The sequence below is a fragment of the Homo sapiens genome, chromosome 10, assembly GCF_000001405.40.
Source record: "Homo sapiens chromosome 10, GRCh38.p14 Primary Assembly".
In the NCBI taxonomy this organism is placed as follows: domain Eukaryota; kingdom Metazoa; phylum Chordata; class Mammalia; order Primates; family Hominidae; genus Homo; species Homo sapiens.
In genome coordinates, this window is record NC_000010.11 from 3,150,412 (window position 1) to 3,175,470 (window position 25,059).

At 46.1% G+C, this 25,059-nt stretch overlaps 1 protein-coding gene across 15 annotated transcripts in view, besides 4 other annotated features; it reads right to left on the bottom strand.

Moving 5' to 3' along the window:
- Positions 1 to 22,430, bottom strand: part of PITRM1 (pitrilysin metallopeptidase 1) — a 35,115-nt gene extending 12,685 nt beyond the window's left edge. For 7 of the 15 annotated variants that reach the window (NR_144638.2, NR_144640.2, NR_144641.2 and 4 more), the window contains exons 1-15: positions 22,306 to 22,371; positions 19,693 to 19,795; positions 16,525 to 16,631; positions 15,818 to 15,969; positions 15,002 to 15,116; positions 14,827 to 14,923; positions 13,314 to 13,474; positions 9,793 to 9,919; positions 9,437 to 9,525; positions 8,503 to 8,631; positions 7,629 to 7,742; positions 7,024 to 7,120; positions 6,519 to 6,653; positions 5,180 to 5,318; positions 836 to 952 (exon numbers count right to left, since the gene is read on the bottom strand). Coding sequence is in view for 11 of the 15 variants with exons in the window: in NM_001347725.2 (NP_001334654.1) it covers positions 836 to 952; positions 5,180 to 5,318; positions 6,519 to 6,653; positions 7,024 to 7,120; positions 7,629 to 7,742; positions 8,503 to 8,631; positions 9,437 to 9,525; positions 9,793 to 9,919; positions 13,314 to 13,474; positions 14,827 to 14,923; positions 15,002 to 15,116; positions 15,818 to 15,969; positions 16,525 to 16,631; positions 19,693 to 19,795; positions 22,306 to 22,361 (1,738 nt within the window). In the remaining 4 variants the exon portion in view is untranslated. Of the gene's footprint in view, positions 1 to 807; positions 953 to 5,179; positions 5,319 to 6,518; positions 6,654 to 7,023; positions 7,121 to 7,628; positions 7,743 to 8,502; positions 8,632 to 9,436; positions 9,526 to 9,792; positions 9,920 to 13,313; positions 13,475 to 14,826; positions 14,924 to 15,001; positions 15,117 to 15,817; positions 15,970 to 16,524; positions 16,632 to 19,692; positions 19,796 to 21,770 lie in introns of all 15 variants that reach the window. The other 8 variants (NM_001347730.1, NM_001347729.1, NM_001347726.2 and 5 more) reach the window with 5 other exon arrangements.
- Positions 18,987 to 19,036: an enhancer, noted in NCBI's record as "active region_2908". NCBI's record gives its function as "activates an Ori minimal core promoter by ATAC-STARR-seq in GM12878 lymphoblastoid cells {active_cell/tissue: GM12878}" and the evidence as "EXISTENCE:reporter gene assay evidence [ECO:0000049][PMID:35858748]".
- Positions 21,896 to 22,735: a silencer, noted in NCBI's record as "silent region_2073". NCBI's record gives its function as "represses an Ori minimal core promoter by ATAC-STARR-seq in GM12878 lymphoblastoid cells {active_cell/tissue: GM12878}" and the evidence as "EXISTENCE:reporter gene assay evidence [ECO:0000049][PMID:35858748]".
- Positions 23,026 to 23,185: a silencer, noted in NCBI's record as "silent region_2074". NCBI's record gives its function as "represses an Ori minimal core promoter by ATAC-STARR-seq in GM12878 lymphoblastoid cells {active_cell/tissue: GM12878}" and the evidence as "EXISTENCE:reporter gene assay evidence [ECO:0000049][PMID:35858748]".
- Positions 23,384 to 23,921: an enhancer, noted in NCBI's record as "H3K27ac-H3K4me1 hESC enhancer chr10:3215987-3216524 (GRCh37/hg19 assembly coordinates)". NCBI's record gives its function as "activates a minimal SCP1, AML or CMV promoter by ChIP-STARR-seq in primed H9 embryonic stem cells {active_cell/tissue: H9 hESC(primed)}" and the evidence as "EXISTENCE:reporter gene assay evidence [ECO:0000049][PMID:30033119]".

The following is a 25,059-nucleotide window of genomic DNA, read 5'->3' on the forward strand; positions in this document are numbered from 1 at the left end:
ACACACATGAAAATAAATGAGATACAAACATGACAAGCGCTGTCAGAAGACAAAAGGTGGGCTGGAGACGCTTCACAGGACACAGGGATGCCCAGGGTGAAATCCCATCCCCGTCCTCAAGGTGCAAGTGAGAGCCATGCTGCCCTCAGCTCAGTCACGTCCGGCCACACCCGCTGGTAAGCTCAGCATCAACACTGTCGCAGGTGAGGTTACCCCAAAGGTGCCTCTCCTGCTACTAGCCAGGAGCCAGAGAGAAAGGGGGCACCCTGAGAACTCAAAAGCAGTGACAGACCACGTGACAAAAAGTACCACGGAACAAAAGGTGCCATGGAATGAAACGTGTCACGGAACAAAACGTGCCAAGGAACGAAATGCCAGGACACGGCAGGGGGATAAACCTGGTCTCCAACTTCCTTTCAACTCAGCACTCAGCTTTCTGGGGGCTCTCGTCCCTCTGCTTCCTCTATGCTGATGGCAGGGTAAACATTAGGAAAAAGGGCTCTGAGGACGCCTCGATTTTTAAAACTGCGCTTCACACAGTCACAGCGTAACCCAAATCCTCATTTGATTCTAGAAGCAGGAAATCAGAGCGCCCTATCAAACCCCTCTCAGGAACACACACACACACGGGCTCTTACTGAGTGAAGGAGTCTATCACCACCGAGAGTTAAGAACAAGGCAGAAGAATCGTGTAGAGCGAGACTATGAACGCACAGGGCTGCTCAAGTGTTTCAGGGAAAACCTCCAAGACATGACTCTACTGCTTCTGTGAGGAGTGACATTTAATTCCCCCAAGGAACCCGAGACCCGGGAAAAGCGTAGCGTTCACAGTGACCTGTCAGGACCACGTCCAACTCTGTGACAGGTATGGTGGGTTCAATATCGGAAACTTTCAACGCTGGCAGACAAGAGGCATCTTGAGGTTTGCTTTGTTGACTCCGTAATTCTAGACCTAAAAAAGAAACAAGAAAAAGGAATATTCAGGGCCATAATTAAAAGGTTTGATGCAACTTGTCTCCTATGTTATTATCTTAACATCCAGAATTAGCCGTCCACGCCAAGTGTGGGGAGTACAGGAGCACTGTGGTTTGCAAAGTATCTCCTATTTCCAGGCTGACCATATTTAGACGCACTAATAACCTGCTTAGTGGGTAGCCCTTTTCCTAATTCTCATTTTCAATTATTAAGGAATTCTGCTAGGAAGTGGTGGTTTGCTCAAGCAGCTTCTCCTGCACCCCTCCAAAGTTTACATTAAATAGATTCAACTTGTTTTTAGAGTTTTCAAACCATTTCTTGATGGACTGAAATTTAGTGATCTTTATACTTATCTTCTTTTTGTTTTGAGACAGGGTCTGGCTCTGTCACCCAGGCTGGAGTACAGTGGCACCATCTCAGCTCACTGCAGCCTCTGCCTCCTGGGCTCAAGTGATCCTTCTGCCTTAGCCTCCTACGTGGCTGGGACTAGGGGTGCAGACCACCATACCTGGCTGATTTCTGTTTATTTTTATTTTTTTTTTGTAGAGACGAGGTTTTGCCATGTTGCCCAGGCTGTCTCAAACTCTTGACCTCAAGTGATCCTCCCACCTTGGCCTCCCAAAGTGCTGGGATTCCAGGCATGAGTCACTGCACCTGGCCCTATACTTGTTTTCTATTGTTTCATTTTCACTAATTTCAGCAAAAGACTTACACAAGCACATAAATCACACAAATTACAGTGGTGCTTAGAAAGACACTTCCTGGGCCTGACAGTGCATGCATCAATGAGGGAGGCAGCACCTTCACAGCAGACTCCTCCACTGAGCCACAGCCCATGTGGAGAATCCAGAAGACCCAGGCGTGCTCCCCGCCCTGATGGCCATCAGTGAAGCGGCTTCACAGTGCTACACCGAGCCAAGCAAGTATACAAATGCATGATTCCACGACTCCCGGGGAGGGCTGTGCCCAGTTCCCACTTTAACTCAGTCCCCGCAGACAGCACTCCTGGTGTCTGCTGGGCTGACCTCCCCCATGTTCCATTTCCACCTTCTGAAGTTCCCCGAGAGCGTGCCACGCACTTAGACACGGGACCTTGGGGCGCAGTGAGCATCTCAGGCAGTGTCATCCCTCCACAGGTGCCCCACTGTGGGCTCCAGCCCTTCTGTCCACCTCTGGAGCCGCAACTGCCATCAATAACCACCCCTGCTCCCAGCAGCATGTGGAGCCCAGGCTCCCAATGGCACGGAGCTCAGACCTGGGCTCTGCAGGCTTCCCCTGCCTGCTTGCCACCTACCTAACATCCTGACTTTCCCGACCTCACGCCACTCGGAGATTTTCTAATCTGTGGCTTTGCCACAAAGCTCCCTCCTGCCTCTTCCCTGACCCGGTTTCCCCCGTGGTCCCTGGGCCCACCTGCGCTAGAGCACGCCACAGCTACCCTGACATCCAGGGCTCCTTCTCTGAATGCACTCACTCACAGTTGGTAGAAAAAGCCTCTGGCACTTTCTCTTCTCTGTTTTCTTTCAGCACATCACACACTCCCTGATGGTGGAGGCTTTACCCCTTCACAGTGCTTAAGACACACACAAGACCAGAAATCGGAAGATTCAAGCTTTTACTACATAGTTTCCCATTCCCCTTTTCTGCATTGTTGTTCTCTACAGATTGGCTTTTAATTCACAGAACCCTAACACTGCCATGCACACTTGAAGACTTACTGACCTGAAATAACCATTCAATGCACTAGCACTGTGCCCTCCTTTCAAAGAGCTACACAGCGAGTGTGTAAAGGAGAAATCTGTAGTGTGAGCACTGCTCATTAACCTACTGGTTTGGACTACAGTATACGGGGTTTTCTTAAAGCACAGCTCTGAGGCCAGGCCACGAATATGAAGTAATTTAGGAAACGTACAACCTGTTGCCTACTCATGGAATTATCTTGTGTAGTCATGAATAATTTCAATTAAAAGCGGGAAGATTGGAGCTTGTCACAAAACAGAGCTTAATAAGGGGGGAAAAAGAGTAAGGTTAAAAAATAGAGCTTAAAACAGTTGTCTCTAGTCTCCACTAAAAATACAAAAAATCAGCTGGGCGTGGTGGTGGGCATCTGTAGTCTCAGCTACTTGGGAGGCTGAGGCGAGAAAATGACGTGAATCCGGGAGGGGGAGCTTGCAGTGAGCCGAGATCGTGCCACTGCACTCCAGCCTGGGTGACAAGGCGAGACTCCGTCTCAAAAAAAAAACCAAAAAAACAACAAAAAAAAACCAGTTGTCTCTAAACAAGAATTCAGATAGCAAGAGTAAGAGCAGGTTACAAACTGACATTAATTTTTCTTTTACATGATGTAACTTCAAACTTAGCATGATCAAAATGGAGTCACTTACTTTCCACCTAACGTCCACTCTTACCTCCTGACAAGCCTGACAATTTCTCACAGAATCCCAGCCCAATTAGCTTTTTTAATAGGAAAAGTAAGTGCATGTGTGTATGTGTTGCATCTATTTTTAAAAGACTTAATACATAACTTACAAGCAATAATATTCACAATTTTAAAGACTCAACTGAGTTCTGACAACTGTGGCAAGCTATGAAGCCACCACATCATAGTACTGGGCCTTTCTAGCACCCCAAAACTCTCCCATCCCCACTGCAGTCAACCACACCCCGACTGGGCCTCCAGCAGCTTCTCATCTGCTCTCTGTCCCTGCAGCTTTGCCACATCTAGGCTTCCCATGAATGGCCTCAGGATGTCATCTGGCACCCGGCTTCTTTCCCTTTGTGGGAAGCTTCGAGATGCACCAATACCAAGCGTGCATCATTGTTGCGCTCCTTCACAGCTAGTGGCATTTCTTTGTAAGGATGTATATGTTGATGGAAATCTGGGTTGTTTCAAGCTTTGTGCGGACGCCTGTTTTCATTTCTCTTGAAGGAACGTTAGGAGCGGGGCTTTCCTGGTCCGTGCATGTTGGCTGGCACTGTGAGAACTGTGACCCCGTTTCCTAGGTGGCCACACCATTTTGGCTCCTTTGGCAGCATGTGAGCATTCCCCCTGCCTCTCAGGATTGATGGCATTTGGTGCTGGCAGTAATTTTTAAAATGTTAGTCATTCTAGTAGGTGTATAATTGTATATCACTGTAGTTTTAATCTGCATTTTTCTAATAATTATGATACATTTCCCTAAGAAAGTAATGAGATTATTTCCCATGTAATGATTTATGTGCCTATTTGCCATTAGGAACTCTTAGATGATATCTGTCAAAATCTTTTACCCATGTGTTAATTGGGTTGTGTGTTCTCATTACTGAATTGTTCGTTTTTCGTATATTCTGAATACAGGCCTTTATCAGACACCATTTTTGCAAATGTTTTTTCCCAGAGGCCAAACTACCTTTGAGAATCCATTTGGGTCCCCTTCTCTCCCGTGGCCTCCTCCCTTCCTTCGTTCCACCCGGCTGCTCCCCCAGCGGCTGCCAATCCCCGTCTCACTTTTCTTTTCACTCCCACCATCCTGGCCTAGGTCGTCATGTCATGCTTAGGTGTCTAATTGCCTCTCAGCAGTTTTCTCCATCCAATTTCTCTATTTTTCTGCAAAACTATCCTGAATGAGGCTGCAGCTACACTGCTCACTGACCCGACAGTTCTCCTGCCTTAATACATGAAGCACCCGTGTGCTCCCCATCTTCCATACAGGCCCTCCCCAGAGCCACAGGGCACACCTGTCTCCCCCACACACGCTGTCCTCCCTCCATGCCCACCGCTCCACCATCCCTGTGTGCCTCACGCCTGTCCCACAGAATCCTGGTGCTGCTCTGTGGCTGGCACACACCCGGTATGCCTGAGACAGGCCTCTTCCCAACACACAGCTCTCAACTGTCCACTCTGCTCACAGGCCAGGCAACACGCACTGCAGCAGAACAATGGTACTGGCATATTACGGCACCTGATAAAAGTATTTACAAAATCTGTAAAATAAATACATCTTTTCAAGCTACTTCTTTTCAATGACTCCTGCGTTTCCTACTGAGCTACACGGGCGATTTTCTGAGAATATCTGAACTCAATGCATCGAACGTGAGCTCTGTTGGCGCCCAGCGGACACCTGTTGGTTGAAATAATACCTGCCTCCAACTACTAACTCACTAACAAGTCCACTAGGCCCGAGTGCAGGTTAGGGACTCGCCAGCTCGGAAGGAAGCCTCTGACCTTTCTCGTAGATCTGCTGCCTGTCTCCGGGGGACAGAGCCTCGACCTTCTGCTTGAGCTTCGTGGCTTCCACCTGTGCCTGCTTCTCGTGATACTTGTCATCTGGCCTCATCGATAAAGTCAGCTTATGCTGGTTATTCTGCAGCAATCACAGCAACAACAAAAGCCAAGTGAAAACAAGATCTTACTATATCCTAACACTCAACAAGCTTCTGCTGGTGTGTTCTTGGTCCTGTGGTTCCACTTTCCCACTTTAAAAATAGTAATAATAGAACGCACCTCAAGAGTTGTTTTGCTGATGCAAGTACACAAGCCTTATAAAATGCTTACCACCATACCTGCCTATGTAGTAAGCACAGAATTCATATATGCTGTTATTCTACTGTTATTATTATTATGGTCATTAAGTCTTAAACATATCAATACTAAACATTTTCATTACATCTTAGTTGTAAAAAGGTTTGCACTTTCAAGTACTACAGATCTTGGATTTTAGTCTAATTGAAGATAATATAGAATTCTATTTTTTGTCTAGCGTTCATTCTACTATTAAGCTCTAAAAGGCTAGAACTACATTTCCCATTCAATACTTCGTAAGTTATTAGAACAAAATACATGTTGACGTTAATATAAAAATGAACATTAGGTGATTTCATGTCCTTTCCTTGTTTCAACAATTAAAAAACTACACATGCACAAAATGCTCCCATATAAAATACTACAAACAGGTGAGATAACTAGAAGACACCAGAAAGTTCATGGAAAATAACTTACAACAGCTGAGAGAAACTGCAGGTCAAATTATTAAATCATATCTCATGTCTAAAACAATGGAACCTACTGGAGAGTTTCCCTTCACAGCAGACAACAGTCTCTCCCACCACGGGAACCCTTTTTAAAAGTTCTACCATAGTAATGAGTACAAAGCAAAGAACAGGCAACCAAGCACAACTGCCTAAAAATCTGAGAAAACAAACGCGCAAGCATCAAAAGAATTCACTCATGAAAACCAGAAGATTCATTACATTTGGGTGACTGTTCACATATTTTATATTCTTCTACTAATAAAAGAACAATATATGCAGATGTTTTGTTCATACACACAAACATACATATATTCACACACTAAAAATGCACATATACATTTATCTAAAAAACTCAACTTGCATTACAATCTGGAAAATAATTAAGTTAATGTAAGCATTTAAATTTTTAATTAGAAATTAAGTCACCCATTAACAGAAATTACTTAAATGTATAGATTATGTTCCTAATATTCCTTTCATTAGTATAAAATTCAACTTCAAAATTAGAGAAATGAATTATCCAACTTTCTTACCTTAAAATACTGTTTTACTTTTTCTTGCAAAAATTTTGGATTTTCCTGCAGGCACTGTCTGAATTTAGCTAACTGATTTCCCAACTTCAAGAGCTCCACAGGGTCCCCATCATGGTTCCAGCAAGAAGCTATGTACTGGAAGGAAGATTTCCACATCCACAATGCAGCTGGTACCACAGTACAACCTCCACCAACAGCCCAGACTTGATACTAAAATCCTAGTTTCTGTATTTAAATATACCACAGATGATTGTTTATAACAAAAGTCATGTAATTCTTTGGATGGAGAAACAAAAAAACTTACTTTAGCCCTGTTTTGTTCCAATAAAATAAAAAGCACAGGCTGAAATAATGTTTAGGAAATAACCAACAGATTACTAGTTATAAACCCTTACCCATTTAAAGTAATCTATTTCACATAAAAATATCAAAAAGCCAGTTAAGCTAGTAACAAGACAAAATGTCTATTATAAAACAAAAACAAAATTGTTGAGAGATCACTTACTGATGTCAGCATCAGCCCAAAGCTGGTAGACTGATGTTTCATCTGTATTTCAATTTTATGAAGTAAAGCCTCAATTCGATCATCTTCAAATCCTTTCCTAAAGAATACAATGAAGAACAAAGATGGGCCAGACACAATGGCTCATGCTTGTAATCCCAGCACTTTGGGAGGCCAAGGCAGGAGGACTGCTTGAGGCCAGGCATTTAAGACCAGCTTGGGCAACACAGAGAAAGCCCATCTCTACTACACAAAAATTAGCTGGGCATGGTGGTGTGCACCCTAGTTCCAGCTACTTGGGAGGCTGAGGTGGAAGGATCACCTGAGCCTGGTAGGGGAGGAAAATGCAGTGAGCTGAGATCACGCCACTGCACAGCAGGCTGGGTGACAAAGCGAGACCCTGTCTCAAAACAAAACAAAAACCTAAGATGTTGAAGAGTTTTAGTAACAGAAGGTAGCAGAGATAATATTTAAACAACTAAATATGAACAAAAGCATGTTATATGACAGAGAAGGAAGGCCGAAACAATGGATCAGGCTCAGCTTCTCCCAAAAAGCACACAGGAATGAGGAACGAAAGCAGATTGTTACAAACAAGCTACACTCACTCAACTACTTCATCAATCGTTCTGTCTATGAGGCTTCTGACGGTCTCAATGTCTTTCTCCGCAATCCCTTGGAGGCCGACACTAAAGTAGGCCTCCCTCGTGTAGCCATTATATCTAGAAGACAAAACCAGAAATGATGCACTGGAATCCGGGCACGTTCATCATGCCCTCGTAATATGCTTGATTTAAAGATCAGAACGAAGCGCCTTAAACTCCAGCCCCTCCACTGAAAAGCTCATTAAAGCAGTGTTCTCAAGTAACTGGTTCTGTGTACATCCATGTCATTTTTACATCATTTTTTAAAAATAAAATTTAAACTTTTGAGTTATGGCAGGATAAATATCAAAACAGAGAACTGCTGAGATTTACAAAATTTTAAAAATTCCTGTAGTCCCAGCTACTCTGGAGGCTGAGGCAGGAGAATGGTGTGAACCCGGGAGGTGGAGCTTGCAGTGAGCCGAGATCGCGTCACTGCACTCCAGCCTGGGCGACAGGGAGAGACTCCATCTAAAAAAAAAATTCTAATACTTAATGACCTGACCTGTAAGAGACAACAGCATGACATTCTGAGGCCCTGGAAAAGCTGTCTTTGTGCTGGGTGTTTTTCTTTTGGACAAATGTCCCCTTGGGGGGACACAAATGGCTGGCACTGGATCCAGGATCTCATCCAGAGTTCCCTGATGGGGGCGGCCATCCTGTGTACCATGAGACACTCAGCAACTTCCTGGTCCGCCATCTTCCGATTATAGCAATCAAAAATCCAAAAATGTTCCAGACACTGTCAAGTGTGGGGCCGGGACAGGGTGCGGAGGTGGAGGAGCAAAACTGCCCCCAACCAATGAGAACTACTGATCTAATCTAATCATAAACTCACCCAACATCAGGAGAAAAGTCTGTGCCAAGGCCAGATTCAATCAAGGCTTTGTAAAAGGGAGAATTGGGCCCAGAAGTCAAGAGTGAAGACAGAAGACTTAATGTGAAGGCTTCAAATGTGTCGGTGATGCTGCATTGAAAAAAAAAGGAACGGGGAGGTAAGAAAAGAGTAAAGGGAAAATTACTGGCCCTTATGCACATTTTATTTAAAACCACTACACATCTTTCTAGAAATTCTTGCATTTCAACATTTAACAATTTTATGAGCAGAAGAGAATTTTCCTTAAATACCGGGATTTTTGAAGGGGGGCACAAACCATCAAATTAACTTCACTGCACACGAAATGCTCACCATGGGACAGCCTGCCAAGCACTTTTCACACGTGATTTAAATCACAGGCACTGTGGCAGCACCATTAAGGAGACAAGGAACAAGCCAGGAGAGGTGCCAGCCACGGAGCTGCAGGCTGAGCACGGGAGGGCCCAGAGCCCAAGCCTTCCCTTCCTGAACACCCCCGGGCATGGTTCCGACCTAGTCTCGTGAAACCACCGGAATTACAAAGTTTTGTATGTGATATATTTTGCCGAGGTGCATGTTCATAGTACCATTCTCACACTCAAAGGGACCTGTGACCTCAAAATGTGAGCACCTGCTGGTCTGAGGCAGTCTTTTCTCTGTAGGAATAAAGCTTTGAAATACAATAAGTAAATTACTTTTCTTCCGGAGGGCTATCAAAAACGATTTTCCTCAAAAACCATTTTGGATGTTATTAAAAACTTCGACATTTTGTTCTCTATTCCTAAAATCCACTTAACCCCTGAATCCTAACCGTATATTAATTAACATTCAATTGTAGAACTCACTTCCGAACCTTCTAATAGGAACATTTTCCTCATGTTTTTGTCTTGTATGAGCTTTGACAGCATATACTTACTCCGGTAAGAGGAAGCTAACGCTGATGGTTGTTTGTTTAGAGGGATCTGTAGCAAATGAATCCGGGCCACATGTTATCTGGAATTCCCTCTGTAAAATGACGTGACGTTGTGAGTAGGCACAGTGTCTGACGGTTGTCAACTACTCTAGGTTATCTGGATACACGAAATGGAGCGAAACAGGCTTTCCACTAAGTTAACTTTCCTTTCAAACAAATTACCATTCTTTCAGCTTGAAAAGCTCTCCCATACTCTGTACCAAACATGACAGCATCTGAAATCCCATCATCAATACCCAGTCCAAGTCCTCATGTCAACATATTTACCAGGAAGGACACAAACACGGTGGGGCACTCACAGGCTTGTCCCAGGGTGTCTGAGCTGGCACCACGGTGCTTGGTTCAATTTTCTGGAATTTGCTCAGTGCTTCCTCGTGAATTTGTTTCAGATGCTGTTCTAATGGAAAATTACCGTACGTGAAGAACCTAAAATTTTAAGGGAATATAATTAGTCTGTTTTAGTTTAAAAGATGTGAGATCAAGTGCTGTCTGTTTCACTGAAACACAGCACAGGAGTGCCCCTTACCCAAGGTCTCGCCTTTCGGTTTCAGTCACCCTTACTCAACCAAGGTCCAAAAATATCACGGTACTTCGAGAGACCAAAATTCATGTAACTTATTACAGTATATTGTTATAATTGTTCTATTTTATTATTAGTTATTGTTGTTAACCTCTCGCTGTGCCTAATTTATAAATTCAACGTTCATTCACAGGGCATGGTGCTATTCCTGGCTTCAGGCATCTGCTGGAGTGCAGTGGCACCGTCACAGCTCACTGCAGCCTCAAGCAATCCTCCAGCCTCAGCCTCCTCAGTAGCCGGGACTACCAGGACTACACCACCACACTTGGTTTTGGTGGGGGGTTTTTTTTTTTGAGATGGAGTCTCGCCCCGTCCCCCCAGGCTGGAGTGCAATGGCACAATCTCAGCTCACTGCAACCTCCGACTCCCAGGTTTAAAAGATTCTCCTGCCTCAGCCTCCCAAGTTGCTGGGATTACAGGTGCCCACCACCATGCCCAGCTAATTTTTGTATTTTTAGTAGAGATAGGGTTTCACCATGTTGGTTAGGCTGGTCTCGAACTCCTGACCTCAGGTGATCCACCCGTCTCAGCCTCCCAAAGTGCTGGAATTACAGGCGTGAGCCACCGTGCCTGACCGGCTAATTTTTAAGTTTTAGAGGTGGGTTCTATGTTACCCATGCTGGTCTCAAACTCCTGGCCTCAAGCAATCCTCCCATCTTGGCCTCCGTAAGTGCTTGGATTTGCAGGCATGAGCCACCACACCTAGCCAAAAATCGATCTTACATTTTAAACTTCATCTAGATGTGACAAAAACCAAATGAGGTATTTGTTAAAACACTTTATAACCCTAGGTACAGTAATATAGTAATCCAACTGACAATTTCACAAAACTCAATTTTTGGCAACAAATTCAAGGTTATACACGTTTATAAAGATAACACATTTATTCAACCAGAGGAAAAAGGTTACAATGACAGAATTTATCTTTTTCTTTACTATATAGCCTGAGCTATGGTTAAGGTTTGGGAAACTAGTATCTTACAGAACCTTCAGAAATTTCTCACTCTAGAATTTAGAAACAAATTTTACACACTCGGGGTTGAGAGAATCCAGGAGCAATCACCACCCCTAGTGTTCAGATGCTGCTCTCCAAAGACCCTTCCCCATTAGCCACAGAAATCAGAGCTCCCTGGGGAAACAGACAGTTGAACCTCTGGAGCAGGGAGGGCCCGGCTGTGCGTGCATTAGGGAGGTGGGGGTGGGGGCGTAGAAACCAAAGAAGTTAGACCAAAACGGGCCCACAGCTGGGGCAAATGTGGGCATAAAAATGAATAAATTCCATCTGATCACATAATCTCAAATATATACATATACAGAAATATTTCTGTGAGGTCAGAGTGGTACTAAAAAACAAAACAAGACTGGGGAAAAAAAAAAAAAAGAAGAAAAGAAAGAACTCTCTTCTCCATGTTGGGCGCAGTGGCTCACACCTGTAATCCCAGCACTTTGGGAGGTCAAGGTGGGCAGACTGAACTCAGAAGTTCAAGACCAGCCTGGGCAACATGGCGAGACTCTGTCTCTACAAAAAAATATAAGCACTAGCTGGGCATGGTGGCGTGCGCCTGTAGTCCCAGCTACTCAGGAGGCTGAGGTGGCCCAGGAGGCTGAGGCTGCAGTAAGACAAGATCATGCCACTGTACTCCAGCCTGGGGGACAGAACCAGACCCTGTCTTTAAAAAAAAAAAAAAAAAAAAACAAGACAGCCTCTTCTGTCACCATTAAAAGTAGTTCCTGCACCACCCCTCCTCCTCAAACTGGACTTCCCAGGGAGAGCAGCCGGCCCTGCCTTTTCCACAGAACCATATTTCAAGATAACCCGATAGCCCAGCTGATGTGGAGCTCTTCTTTGAAGAAGTCCAGCAAACAAATGAAGAAGTTACAGAACTAGAAAACTTCGCAAACTCTAATAAAGTAATTGATTCAGGCAATAATCCTCAATGAATATGAAAACCATTAATAGGTTGATGAGGAACTCATTATCACAGGACACCAGAAACTCAAGCCCACCAGATGGTCTGTGGCTGAAGGGAAAAAGCAGATCTTCCCAAGGCAGTGGCTGACTCTCAGCATGGACCCCGCTGGTGTGAGATCCCCAGTGGAGGCGAGCAGACCTCACATGATGGTAGGATGTGGCCGTCTATGGAGAGCTCCCCATGAGGGACTCTGCTTACAAAGGCACAGCCTGACTCAAACTAAGTCTTTGGATCTAAGTTCCAGTGCTCAGGAAACACAGGAACATGGCACCCAACACCAGGCGGGAACAGCCAGGCCACCTGGAAAGTGAGTGCGCCAGAAAGAAACTGGGCCTGCACACTCCTCTGCCGTCCCCTAGAGGGTGCCCAGGAGAAACCCGGGCCGACCAGGTGTGACCTGTGGGACCCCGTGCAACAAACACTTTGGGGCCAACTAGAAAATCTGAATATGGAATAAGAAATAGGCAGTTTTAAGAAAGTATGTTTTATTCTATTAAAACTGAAAATGGCATTAGCTCATGTAAGAAAAAATCCTCACGTTTTAGGGTCACAAATTCAAACATTTACGGGCAAATGATCATGACGTCTATAATTTACTTCCAAAAACTTCAGCAAGGGAAAGGATATCTATTACATGATAAGTGTTTAGGGGCTCATTATTCTAGTATCTCTACTTTTCTGTATGCTTCAAGTTTTCATAATTATTTTTACATAAAATAATCTTGCAAATATGTTTTTACATTAGCATTCATATGTAAATACAATTAGTGTTTTATATAAGATATATGACTATATTATTATTATAATGACCTTGTATTAGTGACATAAGAACAAGCAATGTATCAGAAAGTGAGGATGTAATTAAGGTTCAGTAACTGCATCCACTATTGGAAGAGCACTTCTCCGTGCCAAGGAGAGGGCTTCAAGCTTCACACCCCGTGTCAAGGTGGGCACCATCCATGCACCCCCACTTTCCACGCAACCAAGCTAGATGTGAGGCAACAGGCTGCGGGGCCAGGACCCTCCTCTGGGGGACTCTAAACGCTGTGTTTGTAACCACCATGCTGAGCCTCCTGAGGGCTATCATTGTAAATGTCCAAAATCAATGTCCAAGTAAGATAGGCAAACTTAGGCCAAGAATCTTACCTAGACTTAGATATTTCTTAAGCATTGCTAAATGTGAGAGAAGCCATGCCATAAACTGTTAAGAACACAAACAAGTCAACTTTTCACAATCCACCATCAAACTTTTCCAACAAAATATTACCTAGCATTGCTTGGGTGATAGTGAGTGGCATGAAACTGCTTAAGCTGCTCCCATGTAAGCTCCGGGATGCACAGTGGGTCACCCCCGGAGACCACTGAGTACGTGTGGTCAGGAAGAAGTCTGTTCTGAAGGTGCTGGGAGAATATCCTCTCATTGTCTGTCTTGAAACGTAAAATAAATAAATCATAAGTATACATGTAAAATAATACACACGTTACATTACTTACAATATAGCCAATTGATCACATTCTGGTGCATACACCTGTAATACTTTGCAAATAAAGCTGTTCTAATGGTTTAAAAAAAAAAAAAAAACACCCACGCAGGCATTGTTTAACACGGTATTCAATCATTCATCACCCACGCACAGGACCCAAGGATTGAGAAGAACAATGGATTTTTTGATGTGTGGTGCAACAAACGCATAGCTGAGGGCTGTAAATCGGGATGGATCAGTCGGTCTGCCCACCAGCCGTGAGGGAAGTGGGGAGAAGCTGTCACCCCAACTTGAGTTCAAGAAGACTCCTTGGAAGAAAAGACCACCAAATTGAGAATGAAAAGGTAAGAAATAGTTCACCAGCCGAGAGGAGCTACGGGAATCAGAGAGCAGGCCACCCATGAGCCTCAGGGACACCAGGACAGACAGGTTGTCCAAGTCACAAAGGGACATGAAGACATGGGCCCAGGACAGCAGCTCTTAATCCAAAATGGTCTCAAGAATCCTTTACACTCTGAAAAATTAACCCATTTATGCCTGAGGTTGCAATTTTTTTGTAAAAAATCAGACCTTGGCGATGACCTTGAGCTGTAGGACATAAATAACTCCCACAAGCTTAGGGTGCCAATAATGGAACACTAGGCATAAATGCGTTTTAATGAGGACCCAAACAGCTTTTGATTATGTGGGCGTTTTTGCCTGTGTAGGTGCCTGTGTGTGTTTATATAATTTTTCTATATTCTAAATTAAAGCTGAGACATTTAAAAAATACTTATTCATTAAGGTAAGCCATCATTACATGTTGATATAAATATTTTTGAAAAATACTTCTCATAACAAAGTAAAAAACTGATTAGAGTGGTGCTGTGTTGCCTTTTTTGCAAATCTCTGTAGCGTCTGGCTCAGAGGTGAAGCTGGACTCCCCCATTTGCTCTGTATGCAGCTCGCTGTGTGTCACACACCTTGCCATGCAGCCTCTAGAAAGTACACCGTGTACTTGGGCAAGAATGAATGAAAAGACACTGTCTTGGTAGTGGTATGAAAATAGCTTTTATCTCACAGACTTGCTGCAGATCACATACCAGGGGTCCCCAGACATGGTCTGAGACCTGCTGGGAAGAACAGCAGCCTGGCCCTGCTACCCCGACTTCTGCTCACAGCACTGACCCCAGCTAATTCAAGAATGTATCACCTATAATGAGAATATTAAATAAAATCTTCCAGATGTGTCTATATCATGATATTGTACATGGGAAAGGTAAGCTGAACACAACATAAAAAAGGAAGAAAACTTACAAACGCTCCCTTCATCTCATTAAAGACGACTCCTTTAAAGACCAAGGGCGTCTGGGGGTCGCTCGGATTCTCATGTTCCAGCCGCCATCCTTCCTGCCTGAGGACAAATCATTATAAGCTGATAGTGACTCAAATACTAAAGTCTGTATCAACTAGTTAATCATTCATGACATACCAGAAATCCAGCTCGCGTAAACATGGGAAAAAGGTGGCATCCAAATACACCGAGAGGAGATTCTGAAAGTCCTTGGGATTTTGTGTGGAAAATGGATACAGAGTATAATCACTAGCTGGGTACAAATGAAAAGTGAAATTGTAAAATATAACAGATTTCTACTAAAATTATTGACTCTCAAGACTCATTCCCCCTTTGTCCTAGGACAGTAAGCTGTAGCTATTCTTGGGATGGGGCAGTGGCCCCATGCTCTGGTCCCTGGCCTCAGCAGCTGTCCCAGCTCATAACCCCAAGTGCCGGCTTTCCCATCCCGTCTCAGGATCTGCACTCGACGGGCACCAGGGCTTTCTTCAGCGAATATCTAAACTCTCTCAAGTTTCTCCAGAGACTTTCATACATCTACAAAGATGACCTCATTCTGTAACAGCATGGATTTAACCCGCTCTTCAATGTCACTCCCCCACAGAATGCACTGTTCATCGTCACCCTATCCACTATCGTCAGTCTTACTAAAAGTCAAACATCAACATTAGTAGTAACTCTGGCATTGTAGCGATATCTCCAAGAGAAAATTGTTTTGAACTTTTCTGGGAAAAGTTCACATATGTTTTCTTAAAACGCTAGTTTTTACAATCTCGCTACCATGTGGCTTTCCTGAAGGATTAAATTTCTAATGTCCTTCAACTAGAGAGAGGTAAAAATTTTTCTAGAACATGAATTGCCCACTCCCCTCATTCCTTCTCAGAAACTAACTGAATTCCAGTGGGTGTGCCTGGCAAACCCAAAAGCAGTTTCTGTTCAGGATGCTGGTCTTACCTGTGAAGGCGTTCATGAACGTGGAGAGGGACCGGTTCAACATTTTGAAGAAAGGGTCTCTGCACGGATATTTCTGAGACCCACAAAGGACGGTATGCTCAAGAATGTGAGGAACACCAGTACTGTCCATGGGAGTAGTACGGAACTGCACGCTAGGGAAGGAGAATGACCAGAACGCAAAAGGTTCAGCTTAGTGCTGCGGACACAGTTCCCAGATGCATCATCACCTCAGGCTACTAGAAATCATCATTCTGACACCACAATCCTCCAGCACAGGGTTTTCCAACTATAATGTAAATCATTGACTCAGACTGTAAAATTGTATTTTGATGAGATTATAAGTCAGTGTAAACTTTTCCTTATTTTTCAAGATGCTCTGTCAATAAAAATACTAGTGAGATGATATTTTAAACCACGTAATGTATAGCCATGTTTTAAATCAAGCTTGTCCAACCCGCAGCCTGCAGCCCGCATGCTCAGGATGGCTTGAAATGCAGCCCAACACAAATTCATACACTTTCTTAAAACATTGAGGGGTCCTTTATTTATTATTTTTAGCTCATCAGCTGTCCTTAGTGTTAGTGTATTTTATGCGTGGCCTAAGACAGTTGTTCTTCTTCCATTGTGGCACAGGGAAGCCAAAAGAATGGACATTCCTGATTTAAATAAAAACATTCAAGACCATGTTCTTACAATGCACCACACACCTGAACAGATTATTCGTGTCTTCTCTGGCCAGGTGTAAATACCTGGCTCCTGTGTCATCATGGGTGAGCTTCACTGCAGTCAGGAACAGCTCGGGAACAGATGTCACCTGAGTTAACAAGAAAAACACGACCAGTTAAACTTAGACAAAATGGCCTTTGAAATGGTTATGTTCGACACACTGAGAAAACTGGCTTTTCTGCCTGAAATTAGATGATGCCGGGAAGGCAGTATTTCAGAGCTGGAGAGAAGAGAACCATCTTGTCCAGGTCCCTTATCCTACAAACAAGGAAAGACAGACCTAAAAAAGGCAGATGAGAATATGTGTGTGTGTGTATAGAAAGAGAGAGAGAGCGAGCGAGCGAGCGAGCGCGAGAGCGCACGCGCTTACTACTGGCTAGGTATTTTAGATTTTTTTATTTTTTAAATTTTTTATTCTTTTTTTGGCTAGGCATTTTCTAATCATGTCACATATAATCCTGTGAGGGAGGTATTCTCATACTCATTTACAGACGAAAAAACCGAGGCTCAGGGTGATGAAATAAGCTGCCTAAATCACAGAGCCAGGATTCACCCTGGTGTCTGCCCTTCCCATGGTACCATGCTGCACCTAAGTAACAGAGCGCCCTTTCCAATGTCTGCTGAGTGTCTCCTGCTTTTGTGTGCTGTGCCTCAGTAACACAGCGCCCCTTCCAATGTCTGCTGAGTGTCTCCTGCTTTTGTGTGCTGCGCCTCAGTAACACAGCACCCCTTCCAACGTTGGCTGTGTGTCTGTTTCTGTGCATATCATCTCCTGTAGTGCGCAGAACGGGCCTGCAAGGAGGGGAAATGCTAGAGTGGGCTAGCCTGCGACAGCAGGGAGAGGCTCTAGGATCAGCCTTTGCTTCTCTTAGTTTAGGATGGGTTCTCGGTGGTAGCTAGAAGCACAAAGCTGTGGCTTCCAGAACAGCTGGAGGGGCCGGGAGGATAGAAATGCCCACAAGACAGACGAAAGACTCCCCACTCCTGGGGCGGCGTGGAAGGTCATCTCCTACTTTAGGTAAGCCTCCTGGTAAGTGACCATACTCCTCGGTATGAAAGAAACTGTCTTCTCTTCCAGTCATGCCAGCCGGCCCTCTCCCTCAATCACACACCACGTCCCTGTGATCACCACACCACTCACCACCCCCTCCTGCCAGGTGCCATGAGTCACCTGGCCAAGCGCACACAGTAAGTCGCTGGCCAAGGTCAGACCTCGGGTCTCCTCAGCCCAATCTAGGGAGCCTGCCACGCAACAGTCATGCATAAAGCAGACCACTATGACCTGCATCATCTACCGCCGCGAAATTACTTCTGTTTCCAAGCTCACTGTACTTTGTAACAGATGATCAATGCTTTTGAAGTCAGCAGATACAGTGAGATGTTTGCTTTCTAATAATATATAGCTTTAATAATAATAGCTTTCATGGTAGCTATTTCTCAAACAAGAATCATGACTTATCGTAAGTTTCTATGGCTGGACACAGTGGCTCACACCTATAATCCCAGCACTTTGGAAGGCCAAGGTGATATGGTTTGGCTGTGTCCCCACCCAAATCTCATCTTGAATTGTAGTTTCCATAATCCCCACATGTTGTGGGAGGGACCTGGTGGGAGGTAATTGAATCAAGAGGGCGGTTTCCTCCATGTTATTCTCGTGACAGTGAGCACGTTCTCATGAGAGCTGACGGTTTTATAAGGGGCTTCCCCCTTCACTTGATCCTCATTCTCTCCCCTGCCGCCCTGTGAAGAGATGCCTTCCACCACGATTGTGTTTCCTGAGGCCTCCCCAGCCATGCAGAACTGTGAGTCAATTAAACCTCTTCACTTTTTAGCTCATACTTTATAAATTACCCAGTCTTGGGTATTTCTTCATAGCAGTGTGAGACTAGACTAATACACAAGCAAAAGGATTGCTTGAACCCAGGAGTTTGAGACCAGTCTAGGCAACAAAGTTTCCATCTACACACACACACACACACACACACACACACACACACACACACACACACACAATTAGCCAGGCGTGGTGGCACCTTGTCCCAGCTACTTGGCAAGAGGATCGCTTGAGCCCAGGAGTTCGAGGCTGCAGTGAGCCAAGATCATACCACCACACTCCAGCCTGGGCGACAGGGTGAGTCCCAGTCTCAAAAGTAAATACGTTTCTATAAAATTTGAGAAATAAAGGAGGAGAATCTACCGCTGTGGGTGAGGCCCTTATTAACAGTAACCTGTACCATAAACCCAAGTGTCTTTGCCTGGCCTTTGCAGGATTTCACAAACGCTCCAAGTCTTTTCATGAGTCCCATGCCTGGACCTTGTCTGGCGCACCCTAGTCACTGCCCTGGCTCCCTTGCTGGAGCCCTGACCGAAGGCAGCCACGTTCTCACACCACCCTCTCCAGGAGCTCTTCCCTCTGCCCCCAGCAGCAGCAGCTCCCACTCCTCCTCCTGCCCTTGTCCTTGGCCCTCCGCGTGGCGTCCACCATGTGCCTCCGGTCACAGCCGCAGCAGTCTTTCTAGACAGTAAGCTGTTTGTCTTTCACGTTTGCTATAACATCAAGCATAGCACAAAGCCAACAGCTGGCCAAATACATGAAGCGTGTCATTTTCAGTTACCATGCTAAATAGAAACAATGCAAAAGGTTTAGGCAAAATAACAAAACAAAAACCAAATGAATCTATTTTAATACAGACCCAAGTAAGTACAGGTCCACAATTGCTTCTTTATCATTCTGAAACCCGAATGGCTCAGAAAACTGAAAGGTTCTGCGGACGTTTAGAGCAAGCTATTTGATGGCAAAACCTGACTAAACAGATCAGGGCAGTGAGTCTTCATGCTCATGCTCAGTGAAACATCAGGTTTGGCTGCAGAAACGCTAGTGTGTCTGATTACAGAGACCCAGCTGGAAGTGTTACTCTCTAAAATCTCACAAGAACCAGGCTTTGCGGGATTCCAGGAAGGGACTGGGGCTCATTTCACTCACAAGCTCTGTTCAGCCGAGTAGCTGCCACACAGCAGGAGCTGGGCCAGGGCCTTGGGACACAAGGACAAAAACGCTAGTCTCCGCCCTGAAGGGCTCCGTACATAGGCCAGAAGCCGCACCTGCAATGTATGTGGATTTATAAGGAGGTGCCGAGGACGACCCATACCTGGTTTACGGTGAATCCATGGATCTTGTCTCCTAGTTTATACTGCAGAGCCCTCTCACAAGCCCGGTTACTGTTCCATCGCCACGCTCTGTGGTGTGCATGTCTAGATTAAAAGTCATCTAAGTTAGATGAGTTGCAGGAAAAGTATCTGGCTAACATTATTCAGCCACATAGTGAAAATACTCTCATGTAATAAAGATTATTAAAGAAAAATTAAATATTGCATCTTCCAAAGTCTTGCACATTCCAGAAAACTGATTTCTGGTAAGGTCCTTTCCATTTTAATGATCTTTATCTTAACTAAAGCTTCAATGTTGGAAACCTTTTCTTTACACTTGTTCACAAATAACTATAATACAATTACAGTTTAAATTCCCCTTGTTTAAGAGACAACTCTTAAACAAAAGGGCTTCTTTCCTTCACAGAATCCTCAAAAGCCTTCACAGTATACCAAGAAATTCACACTACAGTTAAATCCCATTACATGCCTACCGAATTGCTGAAAACTTAAAAAGCCTAATATTACCGGGAACTCTCATACACTGCTACAGGGAGTACAAAGTGGAATAACTTTGGAAAAGCACTTGGCATTCTTTAGAAAGGCTGAAGAGGCCGGGCGTGGTGGCTTACGTCTGTAATCCCAGCACTTTGGGAGGCCTGGGTGGGCGGATCACCTGAGGTCAGGAGTTCGAGACCAGCCTGGCCAAAAATTAGCCTGATGTGGTGGCAGGTGCCTGTAGTCCCAGATACTTGGGAGGCTGAGGCAGGAGAATCGCTTGAACCCGGGAAGTGGAGGCTGCAGTGGGCCGAGATCACGCCACTGCACTCCAGCCTGGGTGACAGAGCAAGACTGTCGGAAAAAAAAGAAAAAAATGCTGAAGATTGGAAATCCATTCACCTCTTGGTCTCTATCGTCCACACCTTACACTGCGGCCCCAGCACTCACAGACAAAAATGTCAGCACGAACCCTGACAGTCCCAAACTCAACTCACCCGGAGGTGTATCGACAGAGAATGGATAAAGTGCGGACTAATCGTTCAATTAAAAAAAAAAAAAAAAAAAAAAAAAAAAAAAAAAAAACCTTACCAATATAAGGGCCTACAGTGGCATGTAACAAAGATATGGGTCACATAACGTGAAACAAAAGATACACATGATACAGTATTATCCTAAACAGGTATTATTCAAATAGGTAACAAGACATTGTCAGAACGCATAAAAATGGTAAAATATTAAAAAAAAAAAAAGCAAGGACATTTCTGTATGTTATGACCGTGATAATCTAAGAGGGAGGGAGAGAGTTACGAGCAGTTAGGGGAATCTTCAACTTGGTCACAGGGACACTAATTTTCTTTTTTGAGACAGATCTCACTCTGTTGCCCAGGCTGGAGTGCAGCGGTGCAATCTCGACTCACTGCAACCTCCACCTCCCGGGTTCAAGCAATTCTGTCTCAGCCTCCTGAGTGGCTGGGACTACAAGTGCTCACTACTACGCCCAGCTAATTTTTGTATTTTTAGTAGAGACAGTTTCACCATGTCGGCCAGGCTGGTCTTGAACTCCTGACCTCAAGTGGTCTGCCCGCCTTGGCCTCCCAACATGCTGGGATTACAGGTGTGAGCCACCGCGCCCAACCTATTTCTAATAATTATTCTCACCTGAATGAGATGGCTCACACCTGTAACCCCGCAATGCGAGAGGCTGAGGAGGGGGATCAAACCAGCCTGGGAAACAGAGCAAGATCCCTGCTCTTAAAAAACACGTAATTATTATTCTCTCCAATTGTATTATATGTCGTATGGGATTTTCTACATTAATGTATCCCACCGAAATATTTATTTTAAAGATAATATGTACAGGAAGAAAAAACCTATTCAGTCACTGGCAATATTATGAAGATATGCTATAACCAACATTTGCTTACTGATTTAGCAAATTTCAGAATTATGGGACAGAAGCGTTTTAAGAAGTTACTTATCAAGGACATGATAGGAAACTCCTGAGCGGTAAGGCCAGGCCGAACTCATGCCACGGACGCCCCGTGCCTCCCGGCCTGGGCCGGCAGCGCTGAACTATTACCTTATATTAAACACGGGCTCGTGGATTACCATGAACACTAAACTGCTTCGTCATTTTTTTCCCCATAAATTGAGTCATTAAAAAAACAAAACAGTTCAATTCCGGGAGGCGTCAGTTCTCTGAACACAGCGAGACTTTAAGTATGGGCTGTGGGCGCCTCGGGTCTCTTAAGGACTCGGCCTCCCAACAAAAATGAACTAGGAGCAAAGCTGTCAGCGAGAACCGCAAATGCCGACCCCATTTACTACCCCCGTTAAAGCCCACGCTAATGGAGGGCCCCGCCGGGAGCGCCGCGGGCAGGCCCGGCCCCCAGCCCGGGGCATCGCCCCTGGGAGTAGGAAGGAGCTCCGAGGTCCTCCGGCCTCGGAGCCTCGGATGCGGGAGCTCCAGGAAGGGCTCGGGGTGCGGGACGCCCACAGCTTGGGGAGCTGCCAGCCCCGGGCGCAGGGACGAGGACCCCTACGCCTCCGGCCTGCCCTGGACCCTCCCCTCCCGGGTACCAGCGCGCCGAGCGCCTCCCGTCGCAGCGTCTCACCCGCCGCTCAGCCGCCTCAGCACACACAGGCCCTGCCGCCCGCCGCAGCGCCACATTGCGCATGACGAGCACCTGGCTGGCGAGGAACCCCCTCTTAACCCGACGCAGGGCGCGGGGCGGGGCTTGCCGTGACAGCTACCACTCCTATTGGTCAACGCGAACAGCGACGTCCTCTGCGATAGGCTGTAGGTGAAAAGGGTAGGCCTCCACTGCTCTGGGACGGGCGGGAGGGCGGTGCGGACGGAGATGGGCGGGAGGGGCGGGGCCGACGTGCCGAAGGAGGCGGGCAAGGCGAGGGGCGTGGTACGGGTAGAAAGGGGCGGGGCCGTCTTGCCGAAAGGGGCGGGGTTCGGCCAGCAGCAGGATGTGGACAGATGATAGGAGGGGGAAGTGGGCAGGCGAGAAGTGGGGCGTGGCGAGAGGCGTGTGTATGCAGATGAAGTGGGGCCTGGTGAAGGGCGGGGCTGCGCTGGTGAAAAGAGGGGCTCCTGGAATGGCGTGCTGTGTTGGGTGGGGCTGTGCAAGTGATGGGAGGGGCTTAGCGAGGGGTGGCTCTTTGCAGGTGAGGAGTGGAGACCAGTGGGAGAGGGGATTGCAAGTGAGCTGAGCCTTGGGGGCGGGGCTTGCAGGTGACAGGGTGGAGCCTAGTGGGCGGGGATGCAAGTGAGCTGGGCCTTGGGGATGGGGCTTGCAGGCGATGGGGTGGAGCCTGGTGGGGCGGGGCTGCAGGTGAGCTGGGCCTTGGGGGCGGGGCTTGCATGCGAGAGGTGGGTCCTTGTGGGGGCAGGGCTGGCAGAAGTGGGTGGGGCTTGGTGATGGACCGCGGTGTTCAGGTGAGGGTAGTGGCCTGGTTGGGGGCTGCCGGAAGCTGGGCCAGGTGAAACTTGGTAGCCCTCTCTGGCCTTGGTGTGGGCGTTGGTCCTGTTTGTAGGGCTGAGCTGAGCTCCAAAGGCGTTCTGCTGCCCCGCCAGGCCTGAACCTTGGGGTCTGGGGGCTTCTTGGATGAGATCTCAAGGCTGCATGGCAGGTCCCAGGGCCAGGGCCCCACGGTGTCACACGTATCACGGATGGCCGCCAGCGAAGCACAGCACAGCTCCGAGCTGCTGCATGGGAGCCTGTGGCCCCCGCTGCTGCCTCCGCTTTCCTCTTCGTTTCGTGTCTAGGAAGATGCACCTGAGCCCCCTGACATTGCCCAAGTGCCCAAGGGCCCTTCTGGGAACCCCCAGAGAGGCTGAAGGAGGCCCCCGTAGGAGTGGGTGGTTCTGCACTGTGGGCCAGAAGGGGCCCTGGGATTAGCCACGCTTGGAGAGGGTGGGGTAGCCCTTGGAGGAAGTCCGCACCAAGTCTGACCTTCCGGGTTTCTCAGAGCCTCTCTTCCTTCCTCCCTTCACCTTCTCCCTCTTTTTTTCCCCTTGTATCACGAATACAAACAGGCTCAAATCTCCCTCTGTCTCCTAATGGGCTCTGAAAAAAAAAATTAAAAATTAAATGGTAAGTAGATGGCTGCAGTCGGCTTGAACAAGCTAAAACTTTGGAAGCAATGTGGAAGGTAATACTGTGGGAAAAAGTCCCAACGTGTCTACCCTAAACTCTCCATAGGGCAGCCAGTTCTGGGCTGCAGGTAAACACGTACCTCCTTATTGAAGAGCCCAAAGGAACCAGAACACAGGCAATAATAGGAGCGACAGACACAAACACGCTCTGCGCATCACCCGTCTTCTAGGGAGAATTTGGGTGTGTGCACACAAAATATCCGATCTAGGTCTCAATCAATTTAGAAAGTTAATTTTGCCAAGGTTAAGGGCATGCCCATGACACAGCCCCAGGAGGTCCAGATGACATGTGGCCAACATGGTCGTGGCACAACTTTTTTTTTTTTTTTTTTTTAATACCGTGTCTCACTCTGTCGCCCTGGCTGGATTGCAGTGGCGCAATCTTGGCTCAGTGCAACCTCAGCCTCCCGGGCTCAAGCGAGTCTCCTGCTTCAGCTTCCCGAGTAGCTGGGATTACAGGCACCCACCACTATGCCCAGCTAATTTTTTTTTTTTTTGTATTTTTAGTAGAGACGGGGTTTCACCATATTGGTCAGGCTGGTCTCGAACTCCTGACCTCGTGATTTGCCCGCCTCCGCCTCCCAAAGTATTGGGATTACAGGCGTGAGCCACCGCGCCTGGCCACAACTTGCTTTTATACATTTTAGGGAGATATGAGACATCCACCAATATATGTAAAATGTAGATTGGTTGGGTCCGAAATGGCAGGGCAACTCCAAGTGGGGGCTTCCAGGTTGTAGGTAGATAAGAAGGAAATGGTTGCATTATTTTGAGTCTCTGATTAGACTTTCACTGAACACACAACTTATATTTGAGAGGAGGGTAGAGAAGCAGTCACTGATGCCTTAGTCTGACTCAGTGAAACAATGGGGCAGAGGAAGTGATCAGATATGCGTTTGTCTCACCCGTGAGCCTCAGGAGGATGACTTTGAGTTCTGCCTGTCCTTGGTCCACAAGGAATTTCCTTGTGGACAAATTGTGAGAAAAGTATGTGGCTTTTTAAAATCCTTATAGCTGTCTTACTTAGAAATAAAATGGGAGGCAGGTTTCACAGTTCCCAGCTTGATTTTTCCCTTTAGCTTACTGATTTGGGTTCCCGAGATATTATTTTCCTTTCATGGGTCATACATATTAATAGGTCATCATAACATCTCTGATCTTGGGGGAGACAGTTGGGTATCATTAACCCTATTGTGAGTGG